General features: G+C 39.4%; 1 long non-coding RNA gene across 3 annotated transcripts; it reads right to left on the bottom strand.

The window, feature by feature from the left end:
• Nucleotides 1-6187: 6187 nt before the first annotated feature.
• On the bottom strand, nucleotides 6188-8545 carry LOC105376370 (uncharacterized). 3 transcript variants are annotated; one of them, XR_930589.3, is made up of 3 exons: nucleotides 8509-8545; nucleotides 8272-8429; nucleotides 6188-6639 (listed from the first exon to the last, which is right to left on the bottom strand). It is a non-coding gene; the product is annotated as an uncharacterized LOC105376370 (long non-coding RNA). The 3 variants fall into 3 exon arrangements; XR_001747272.3 differs by having other exon boundaries at nucleotides 6188-6636; XR_007062035.1 differs by lacking the exon at nucleotides 8272-8429.
• Between the last annotated feature and the right edge of the window lie 3947 nt (nucleotides 8546-12492).

Genomic DNA, 12492 nt, shown 5'->3' with positions numbered 1-12492 from the left:
ATGTCGCTATGATTATTCATACACAAGCTTTTGTTTGAACACCTGTTTTCAGTTTTGGGGGGTATATACCTTGGGGTGGAATTGCTTCGTCATAGGGTAATTCTACCTTTAGCTTTCTGAGAAACCAACAACCGTTTTTTCACAGTGGATACAGTGGTTTCACCATAGTCCTTTCCCACCAGCAATGTGTGAGGGTTCCAGTTTTTCCTCATTTCCAGCAATACTTGTTATGTTCATTAAAAAAAAAATAGTTACTATAGCCACCCTAGTGGGTACGGGGTGGAATCGCATTGCGGTAACTCATTATTAAAATGCAATCTGAAGCAGCACCGGAATTACTGTGCACAGAGTGAGGTAAACTAGCAGGCTCATTCTATTTTCTATTTTTCTTTTTGTCCCATAAGAATATTTAGGCCTATTCTAACAAAATGGCCCAACTCTCCACTTTTTGCAGAGGCAGATGACATTTAATCTATAGCCATGTGTGTCTGATTGAATACACCATCTCCCACTACTCTTGTAATGGCAGATTTCTTGGAAGGAGTGGTTATTTACATTCTGGTCCTCCCCATTCCCACCCCTGGCTATTTCTTGACTAACGCTGATGTTCTACTTTATCTACACCAGAGAGACATTTCCTGCAAAGGTCCTCATGCTACCTTGGTCCCTCCATCTAGTCTCCTATGTTGAGTCCTTCTGCTCCTTGGCCTGCACCAGGCTGACCCTGCTGGCCTGCAGTTCTCAGAACATGCACTTCTCTTAGCATTCATGGCCTGCTACTCTTCTGATTCTTGGGGGTTTTCTTCTTCTGATCCTTATGTGCCCATCCTGACCACTTATCAGCTGTCCCTGCTACCCAGTGACATCTTTCCTTCTCCTTCCCTAAGTGCAGGGATGATTGTTCTCCTTAATGCACACTCTCCTTAAAGAATCTTGTATGCTTTTTTTGCTTTGTTGTTTTGGAGGTGTGTGTGTGTATATGTGTTTGTATGAGTGTGCACCCGTGTGTGTGCATGTGTGTACATGAGCATGAGTATGTGCATGTGTGTGCATGTTTATGTGTGTACATGCATGTGGGTGTGGTGCATGTATGTATGTGTGTTTATGTGGTGCATGTATGTGTGTATATGAGCATGATGAGTGCGTACATATATGTATGTGTGTGCACGAGCATGTTTATGTGTACATGCATGTGTGTGGGTGTGGCGTATGTATGTATGAGTGTGTATATGTGTGTGAGTATGTGTGTATGGGGTGTGTGTGATTAGTAATTCATCTACTTATCAATATTGAGAAATTAGTGTCATCTTTTAGGCCTTCGTTTCCATCCCCAAATCTAATCAGTTTTCAAATTTTCTGATTCTGTTGCCTTTCAGATTCCAATTCTGCCTTTTCTGATTCTAAATGCTTCTCAGATCCTAGGAAGTAGGAGAGAATCAAGTGATGGGGTGAAAAGAGTCAAGACATATTGAAAAAGATGTTAGGAAACAACAGGTAACTTTTGTTACTCCCAGCATGGCCAGTGATCAGCACTTCTGTTCAGTGTGGTTGCACGTTTGTAAAAATCACTGAAAATGTCTTTCTAGAATAAGAAAGTCAAGATTCCGTACAATATTCACAGTAAACATGATCTGTTTTACAAAACTATGGCTCACTCATTCCAGACATTATTCATTCTTAGAGATTTATTTGCCTCCTAGATTTGTCTAAATGACAGAGAAATGTTGACTTGAAATCGTGAGATCATCAGGTCCAGGATAAGTTCTGAAAAGTGGGGCAGTTTCCACTACCTCATGCAGCAGCCTATTTCTCCTTCTACAAAATGAGAGAGATTAGAATAAAAGATCTCTAAGATATCAAAAAAGTGTAGTTCTTGGACGCAACCAAAAGAATCAAAATCCCATTGCCCTAAGCAGAAAAGGAATTTGTTGAATGAATATTAACAGTTTACAGAAATGATAAGAAGTGTTGGAAATGAGGCTGGGGAAGAATGAGGACCCAGAGGAGGCTGGGCTTTGGGGAACGTGGCAGAGGCCACCAGAGGCCTGCCTGCCAGGCCAGAGGTTTTCTGCCTCAGCAACCGATCCCACCCCTCTGCCCCCACCACCAGTGCTGCTGGACTGTAACCTGCATCACCTTCCCAAGCAACCGTCTACTGTCTCTGGGGCACGTGACACTTCTTCAAAATTAAATTAAAAAATAATTCTTACTTCTAGCATCCAATGGCCTAACACAGATCACATCCTCCTATTACATTGACTTGGGGGAAGAAGGAGGAAATACCTGCCCCTTTGGTTTCTAAGCAGTGGGGTGGGGTCCCGAGTCCTACAAAGTCTCACTTTTAGGGGAGATCCCCTACAACGGTAAGCGTTTTCATAAAGCTGGAAGAAAGAAGATAAATTTTCACCATATTATGACTGTGATGTTTGCAAAAGAGATTTTTCAACTTAGATTGCTCCAGGCTGTACTGAAAACCTGGATTACTGGGCTCCTTAAGATGCTGAAAGGCAGGAAAAAGGAGGGAGGAGGAGGAAGGAAGTCAGAAAAGCAAGCAGTGGGAGAGCTGGAAGAGATACAGTATACAGAGCAAGGACAAATGTTCTGGAGGAAAATATTAAATTTTCTCATTTGGAACTCCATCAGGTTTTGTGGAACCTAAATTTTATACAATTCCTAGAACCTTAAAAACAAAAAAAAGATCAGAATTATGAATACAAAAAAATGGTACAAAAGTAAATATTTGTTTAGGGAAGCAGAGGCATCCTAACGCATCACTGCAGCTCTGAAGACTCAGGCCTTGCCTAAAAGGATTTTGTGGCCGAGGTTAGATGTGGGCAGAGATTAGTCTTTCTGGGCGACTTACAAGACAAGCTCACATGGAAAGGCTTCCTTACTCTCAACCTGGCCTCCCTCCATCAACAGCACTGTACAGCTCCCATCAACACCTTCTCTCACGGTGTGGGAAGCTTCGAGGGATGCTCAGTGAATCTCCCTGGGCTCCTCTCTCTCCTCCCATCTGAGGGGTGGGAGCTGGCTTGTGGTATATCCCTCCACACATTAACTCACAACACAGTTGCTGAGGATGTGCCTTGGGTCAGGTCTGGTGCTAAGATGGGGATCCATTTACAACTGAGCAAGACATGGGCATTGCTCTTGTGGTAATTAACACACAAGTAAAGAGAAAGAAATTTAAGAAAATTAAAAAGCTTCTGAAGTCACAAGTAATCCTCCACCCAAGCAGAAAACAAACATGTCTTCTTATTGCAGGCTTTGCTAGAATCAGGTGCACAGTTGTATATGAACCTTAAATACTTCAGACTTATAAACACCATTTTTGTATAATATTGATTCTTTTTATTAAATAAAGTGAAATTACAAATTAGAAGCTAACATGTAAGTTAGTCTCTCTGTGTGGACACGGAGGAGGGAAAGTGGGAGGGACATGAGGGCAGGGCGAGGGCCAGGCAATGGTGTCAAGGGTCAGAGTGCAGTTTCAGAGAGAGTGATGATGCCCAAGGGAGACTTTGAGAATCCCTGGAATACCAGCATGCCACATAAGCTGGAACCTGCCAGAGCACCCCAAGGTCTATAAAATCAGCGACTCTTTGCAATACAACAGCACAACCAAAAAAGCTCTCTTTAATTAACACCCAGGATAGGACACACAGCTTGAGATGTGTCACATGGCAGAGGAATGCAAGTCAATACAGAAATCAAATTCATGACCCTACAGTAAATGCCATTGGCAGGCAGGTGCCATTGACTGGAACAGCTTTTTCCCCAAACCACATAGGCCATCTTCCTTGCTGCTGGAGATAAAGCATCCTTCACGAAAACTCAGAAATATGAATGTTCTGTGGAGCATGTGGTGGGTGGAGCCTCCATATGATGTATAGAGGCATAGAAATACATATACATAGAGATGTTTGTATCTCTCTATGTGTAGGTGAAAATGTGTAAGCATACTTTCTCATTATTGGATTATGAATGAATAGCTGACCATGAGTACAAGGTTTGCCCACTCTCATTTCTGACGTCATCTTAAAATCTCAACTTGTGCATCACATGTGGTTTTGAGCTACATGTCAGTCAAAGAAGCTCTTGAAAATTGCCACTTTTCTGAAATGTGGGCACAGTTGTAAGTGAATTGAGCACAATGGGTAACTGGCTCCAGAGTGGACCAAGAGCTGAGAAACCTACTTGGTTGAGAAACGCAGAAGACAGACGGTACTATGTAGTGCTATCCTACTAGTCCCTTCTTTTAACCTTGAGCATAGCAGCATTAACATTAATTTAAAATTAATCTGTTATGCAACCTTAAATCAGCTAATTAGAAAGGGCAGAACACTAATTACTTGACCAAATTGGCTTCAACTCATGCTTAACAACCAAATCTGCACAATTGCTGCCAGATATGAATCTGCAAAAAGTGATATACATAGAAATCTACACACAAGCACGCGCGTGTGTGCACACACACACACACGCTACACTTTCCTAGTGAGTTTAGTGCATAGATTATGAAGCTAGTGTCTTCACAGTAGCTTTGTTTTTCCTGTGCTGCAAAAGGACTGGCAGCCCTTCTCAAATGACCCTACTGCCAAAATGTGATTTTAGAAACACGTAATTATCATTTGTTTCTGCAGCAGCCTGCCTATAGGTGCTTCATCCGAAAAATTTATGACGATAGGGATGGAGTCCAGAGAGCTTTTAGGGAAATAATTTGTATTCATCCATGGCACCATTTTAAGTGTTTAAAGGCTTTCCATCCTTTGAAACTTTATTTCTACTTAGACCCATCCCATCCGGACCCAGCTTCAGCTGTGCTCCATTGACCTGAACCTGCTCTCTGTCTGTGTCTGGCAGGTACTGACCTAAGTGTGCCTTCACATGTTTAGCTGCTTCATTATTTGATCCACATGCATGGGGATATTGCATTGTATTCATGCTCCACCCTGAGGAACAGAAGCTGCAACAAGGTGCCACTGTCTCAAACACCACCTGCTTGCTGGGGGTCACCTTTAAGATGTGACAGTTTTAGTTTCACCATAAACGGAATAGAAATCAGTAGAAATATCTGTGGAAGCCAGTGTGAACTTTATGGTGCCTTTGAACCTCACAGGGTAAAGTTCTTATGGCACACTGCTCAGTAATATGATCTTCCTGTTGGCCTCAGGGATCTCAGAAAGGGAAATCCTCTATTTTCAGTGGCCCAGCTACACAAACAGTGCAAGGAGGCAAGTTCCATATGCAGAATCCAGACACCCACCAGGCCTGGCTGCCCTGGTTCCTGTTTCTTCCCCGTCACCACCACATTTCTATGCTGTCAGCAGGACTCAAAAGGCAAATTGATTTAGCTCATTACAATTAGGATGAATTAAAAGCAATATTTTTACTTCACTCAAAAAGTCAGCAGGTCACAAAATATATTGCTCTGCATATATAGTAGGTAATGCCTCACATATGATTTATTGGAGAATGAGCTAGTTCATTTCCAGGAATCTTCTAGATAAATGAAGTTCACCACTAATATGTTAGAACTTTTTTTAAAAGTTAACTTTTATTTTCCTAGTAGCCATTTAAAAATATATTAACCCCCCCTCCCTGCCTTCTCCCTTAATCATGGCATTTATTGCTCAGGTTATTCCAAAATTACTGCCGTAACATTAGCAATGAGAAGTTAATAGATTAAGAAATCATAAAAATTCACAATCAAGCTAATTGAAGTTTATTGTTTTGCTAAGGCCTTTGAGATTTTATACCAAACGATAAAAGCTAGATGACATTTATGTCTGCAAAATCCATTATTGAGAAATTGCTGTGTGTGTACATATACCATTCCTTCATCCTCTTATTCATCCCACACTCATTCGAGGCTCTTACAGGAAAATATGCACCTGGCTGAATTCCATCTCCTACATCCACCACACACCTAGGTCATCAATGCATTGTATATTGACCTGCATAATTGCTTCTTTTGTTCTTACTGAGAACTTCCTAACCCCTTCCCATGTCTAACCCAGGCCACAAAAACTTTTCAGGATGGTTAGAATTGTAAGGTAAAATTTTATTTTCTTGTCTTTTCTTTTTTAAGCAAAAGGTATAGAGATTACCTGAATTTGAAAAAAAATTAGAGAAGGGGTGGTGGTGGTGAGTACCAGGAACTCTATATTTATTGATTTCATGATTTATCCATAATCAAGTTTATTGTTATCTACAAAAATTTTGTGTGGTTTTAATTAAAGTGCCCTTGGAGTGACTGGCGTGTGCAGGAGAGTTTCCACTCTACCGTAGGTGATGCATAAGCTACTACTGGACTGGCAGCTCTGAACCAATGGTAGTCCATGGCTGGAGTCCTGTGTTGAGGGTTCTATCAGTGCATCTAGGCTTTTTAAATACAGCAGGGTCTTCTTAGCAATGCCTGCTTTGTGCACAGGATTGGGATTTGCAGTATACATGGCATGGATTTAACATGCTTATCTTACATGCAGCAGCTTCAACCACTAAGACTGTTCAGCTCATCTTCATCTTTGTACCTGTCCATTAACATCAAGTTTCAAGGTTGTCAACGCACCAAGATCTGTTAGGCATCTTACTTAGACTCTTTCCTCCTCCAAATTAATTGCTTCCAAATTTCTGCTGATGGAAAGTAAGATAAATCAACTGATTAAAATTGTATTTATAATAGATTGATTTCTAGACAGAGGAATGAAAATAAGATAAATATGAAACAAAACAGATAATAAATGTTAATTATAAAATCCTGGTGGAGTGTACACAAGTGTTCACTCTGCAATTTTTTCAGCTTTTATGTTAGAAATATTTTATGATAAGATTTTTGGAAGAATTGTGCTTATGGAAATCATTAATAATCAGTGATTGCGTACATAAGAGGATTGCCTAAAAATAAAAGCATGGACTTTCATGGAAATAATTTAAAACACTGTCATTGTTCCTCAGGTTCCATTTTTGTTCATTTCTACATTTCTACATTTTGTTTTCTGTTTAAAATAGTCAAGTAAATGGCATAGAGTGGGTCATTGTTTCACATTTTTAAGATCCTTTGAATAATAGTATGGGGTGTTTTGCTACCTTGTTTGTTTTGTCTTGGCTTTATTCATTTTTAAATTTTGATTATATTGAGAAGGGAGAGACAAAGAATAGCAAGTATTTTTTTCCCTTAAAATACAAATCCAACATAAACCACTCTCCTCTTTGTCATCAAATCTGCTTGGCAGCAGTGTTGTGCCACCCACAATATATTACTCTAAAAAGCAAAGCTAGGCTAATTAATGTTGTATAAACCTAGGAGAAAATGCAAAATCGATGGGAGGAAGCTGGTAGGTATTTGAAGTTCCAACCTATTTCTAATGGTTGAATCATATTTTTTAAAAGGAATGCACTGCCCTCAAAACCCAGGGTTACAACAGCTCCTTAAAAGCCCATCAAAGACATAGCATGAATAGAATTACGAGAAATCGATGGGTCGGTTTTCTTCTCCTTACTTGAAAGACGGTATGAGTTTCTCCAGCTTTCTTCATTTATTTACTTTGGAACAGAAGGAAATATTCTCACTAAATTTAAGTGGTTCACAGAAAATCAAACTTTATGAAAATATTCATAAATTAACTAAACTGAAATAAGCAGTGTAAGTCATTTGCTCTCTTATTTTGGGGCTCTGGAAACTTCCTGCTTGTGTCAGAAAGGAAAACAAAGAGAACATCTATATCAGCATAAGAGAGTGGATTAAAAATTGGCCACTGAAGGAAACGGCAAGTATAGTTTGGCATAAGCTATCACAGCAGCTTACACTCAACAACGCCGAGATACCTGGAAACATTAACTGTGTGAAAACATGCCAGGAGAATTATGGGCCTTCAACTCCTTAAAATAACAGAATTCTGCTTAATAGATTGTTCTGCACTGCTCAGCAGACAATGACCACAGGCTGTCTTCAGTGGTTCCTATTCTGACCACAAAATAAATGGAAGTTGCGACTACCATGAGCAGGAGCTCAGATGAGAGATTCACTGAAAAGAAAGCAAATGCCTGTGGACAGTCAAGGTTTTGAAAGAACATCAGGCCCTAACTCCCGAGCTTGCCTGGCTTACAGCAATGTGATGGAAAGCATAGCCTTGGTTTCTGTGATTTTTAATAGTTGAAGAAATCTAAGTCTAGTTTCTTAAGATCTAAAAATAAATCACCGCAGAGTGTCCCATAATCTGTACACTACAAGTTATTATGAAAAGATGAAAGTAAAAGCACACTAACAAAATATAGCAGGTAAAGGAGCTGGTCAGCCATGGGATGTTGAAGAGCAGATGCTGGCATTCTCACTGGGAATCTGTCAACCCAAACTTCATCTCTGCTAGTGTAGAACCAGCAGACTTGGTGTGACTTTCAACCTGTCCCCCAGAGGCACCTGATTGCTGGAGAGAAGTTGCAGAGTTGAGAACAAGACTGATGGTTTTATCTCTGTCTGAAGATAACCATGAGAATAGCACTTACTATTGATGAAGCCACAAGCACACTTGATGAGGCCTGCAAAGAAAGCTTGGTCTCCAGGCAAGGTGGGGACCATTGCGGAAGTGAGATACAGAAAACGGAAGTGAGGTATAGAAAACGGAAGTAAGTCACAGGAAACGGAAGTGAGTTATGGAAAACAGAAGTGAGGTACAGAGGATAAAAATGATGTAAGGGAAATGGAAGTGAAGTTCAGAAAATGGAAGTGAGGTACAGAAAACGGAAGTAAGTTAAGAAAAACAGAAGTGAGGTAGTGAAAACATGAGGTACAGAAAACGGAAATGAGGTACAGAAAACGGAAATGAGGTACAGAAAACAAAAGTGAGGTACAGAAAACAGAAGTGAGGTAGAGAAAATCAAAGTAAATCACAGGAAAAGTAAGTGATTTATGAAAAAACAGAAGTGAGGTAGTGAAAATGTAAGTAGGGTACAGAAGACTGAAGTAAGGTATAAAAAACAGAGGTGAGGTAGTAAAAACTGAAGGAAAATATAGAAAACAGAGGTGAGCTAGAGAAAACGGAAATGAGGTAGAGAAAATAGAAGAGATGTACAGGAAACGGAAGTGAGTCATGAAAAACAGAAGTGAGGTAGTGAAAACGTAAGGTACAGAAAACGGAAATGAGGTACAGAAAACGAAAGTGAGGTACAGAAAACGGAAGTAAGTTACAGGACATGGAAGTGAGTTATGAAAAACGGAAGTGAAGTAGAGAAAAAGTAATATACAGAAGACGGAAATAAGGTATAAAAACGGAAGTAAAGTAGTGAAAACGGAAGTAAGGTACATAAAACAGAAGTGAGGTAGAAAAACGGAAGTGAGGTAGAAAAAACGGAAGTAAGTCACAGAAAACGGAAGTGAGTTATGAAAAACAGAAGTGAGGTACAGAAGATGCAAATGATGTTAGGAAAACAGAAGAGAGGTACGGAAAACGGAAGTGAAGTAAACAAACGGAAGTGAGTCATGAAAACCGGAAGTGAGGTAGTGAAAAAATAAGATACAGAAGACAAAAATAAGGTATAAAAAACGGAATTGAGGTAGTGAAAACGGAAGTTACAGAAAACAGAAGTGAGGTACAGCAAACGGAAGTGAGGTAGAGAAAACGGAAGTAAGTCACAGAAAACGGAAGTCAGTTATGAAAAATAGAAGTGAGGTACAGAAGATGCTAATGATGTTAGGGAAACAGAAGTGAGGTACAGAAAACAGAAGTCACAGGAAACCGAAGAGAGTCATGAAAAACAAGTGATGTACAGAAGATGAAAATGAGGTAAAAAAACAGAAGTGAGGTCTAATAACAGGAAGTGAGGTAGAGAAAACAGAAATAAGTCACAGGAAATGGAAGTGAGATAGGAAAAACAGAAGTGAGGTAGTGAAAAGTAAGATACAGAAGATGGAAATAAGGTATAAAAAACAGAAGTGAGTCACTGAAAATGGAAGTAAGGTATAGAAAACAGAAGTCAGGTTGAAAAAACGGAAGTGAGGTAGACAAAACGGAAGTGAGGTAGAGAAAATGGAAGTGAGTCACAGAAAATGGAAGTGAGTTATGAAAAACAAGTGAGGTACAGAAGATGGAAATGAGGTAATGAAAACGGAAGTGAGGTGTAGTAAATAGAAGTGAGGTAGAGAAAACCAAAGTACATCATAAGAAATGAAAGTGAGTTACTCAAAACAGAAGTGAGGTAGTGAAAAAGTAAGATACAGAAGATGCAAATAAGGTATAACAAACGGAAGTGAGGTTGTGAAAATCGATGTTACAGAAAATGGAAGTGAGGTGGAGGAAACGGAAGTAAGTCTCAGGAAACGGAAGTGAGTTATGAAAAACAGTGAGGTACAGAAGATGGAAATCAGTTAAGGAAAACAGAAGTGAGGTACAGAAAACGAATGTGATGTGGAGAAAACGGAAGTAACAGGTAACGGAAGTCATTTATGAAAAACAGAAGTGAGGTACAAAGATGAAAATAAGGTAAGGAAAATGGAAATGAGGCACAGAAGACTGAAGAAGGCCTAGAAGATGACGAGGTACAGAAGACAGAGGTGAAGTACAGAAGGTGGAAATGAGTTAGAGAAGATAGAAGTGATAGAAAACGGAAGTGTGATAGAGAAGAGGGAACAAGGTTCAGAAGATGGTCATGAGGTACAGAAGACAGAAGTGAAGTACTGAAAATAGAAATGAGTTAAAGAAGATGGAAGTAAGGTACAGAAGACGGAAGTGACATGTAAAAACACCCAATCGGTTACAGTTCTGCGTTTTCTTTATTTGAGCCTGGTCTGGACAGTTGGCCACCTCTGACTGGCAGAAACTGATTGCTACAAGAGGAGGTGACAGTTGGTTCACATATCCAGTTAGGTTACAGCCCACTATGTATGGAGAAACCTTTCAGGCAAACTTAAAATATGTAAGCAGAACACTTTATTCCATGCTTAATTTAACAAAATCATAAAGAGTATTTATGCTAATAAAGAAGACAACCAAAGCTCTGAGAAGTGGCTTTGCCAGAAGTTTCCATGCTGGTAAAATGCAGAGCCTTTATTTGACGCCAGTGAGGCTGGCAGCCGAAGCGACCAGCTATCCTGGAGTTCCTCCTGTACGTCCACGGTTAGGGAAATTCTTCCATCCTGGACAAATGGGAGCAGTCTAGTTGGTCACCCTAGTTCTGCTCTCAATGTTGTTGCTTCCCACTACACCACGACGGACATTATTCTCTCCAATGTTTTAATCGTTTTCTTCTATTTTGTGCCATGTAAAATAATTCATGATACAAAAGGTACAAAAATGGTTTGGGACAAAGCAGTATTAAAACATATACATTCAAGCTCCTGGTAGACTTCCTTTAACACACAGTTGTAACAAAGAGAGCCTCAGAACTACGCCATTCAGGACTACACACCCCTGTTTTTTTAATTAAAAAATTCTTTATTTTTATTCACATATTAGGGAGGGGGATAAAAACTTACTGCCATGTATTTTTATGGCAAAAAAAAAAAAAATCCTAGGTAATAAGAATATATGTTATTAAAAGTTATATCACTAAGAGTTGAGCTTGTCAGCTATTCAAAAGCTGCAGTTGGGGGTATGAATCATTAGGAAATGGCACAAAGGTTAGAGATACAACCTGTGACTATTTAAAGACATCACAGCCTGGTTCCCACCCTCAGGGCACAGGGAGCAGAAACAATGTGTTCATTTTGTCTTAAAAGTCCCATCAGGAGGTCGACAGGGCCAGTCAACACAGACATGTTCTAAATATTTGCCTTACGGGTGGACATAATTACTTAAAATACAAATTTAGGCTGCTAAAAATTTCAGTATACTATTATCCTGAGTTCTAGCTTCAACCTGTACCTGTATATATGGCTGCAGAATAAGGTTTTGATAGCTCACTTCTACAAAAAAGGAGAACAACATCTGTGAAAACACACAAAAGCCTAACGAGGTTATACTTTCATTCCATGGAAAAAGTGTGGCATTGATTCATTCTCAAGCTGGATTATTTCCACAATAAAATAAAATTTGCCTTCAATTTTAAAGGGAGTTTTTATTATGAGAAAAACAGAATCAAAAGGAAAAAAAAATTTTTTCACTAGGCATGTGAAAAGCCATCAAGCGGCCTAACAGATATTGGGCAAAATGCCACAATCTCTGGCGGAAAGTGCTGTCTTGGAAATAGTGTCCACTTTGACCAACACCAATGAAACCTAATGATGACCCCTATCTGACAATGATTTAGTGTGTTAACAAACTTAAATAGAATTTGACTAGCGCTAGGAAAATATAATGTGTTTCCTGTATATTATTATGAGAAAAATAAACACATATATGATAAACTATCAAAGTGAAGAATGGAAAGTTACGAAATGGTATTATTTCTGTCATCTTCTCTTGATAACAAATCAACTTTTTAAAAGCAAAGGAAAAATTGTAGCATGTATTAAATGCTTCCTGGCTTTCATTCTCTGGGTTTATCATGTCACGT

Source organism: Homo sapiens, chromosome 10, assembly GCF_000001405.40.
Source record: "Homo sapiens chromosome 10, GRCh38.p14 Primary Assembly".
In the NCBI taxonomy this organism is placed as follows: domain Eukaryota; kingdom Metazoa; phylum Chordata; class Mammalia; order Primates; family Hominidae; genus Homo; species Homo sapiens.
Note: the sequence above shows the minus strand (reverse complement) of the source record. Positions and strands in the feature narration are given on the sequence as shown.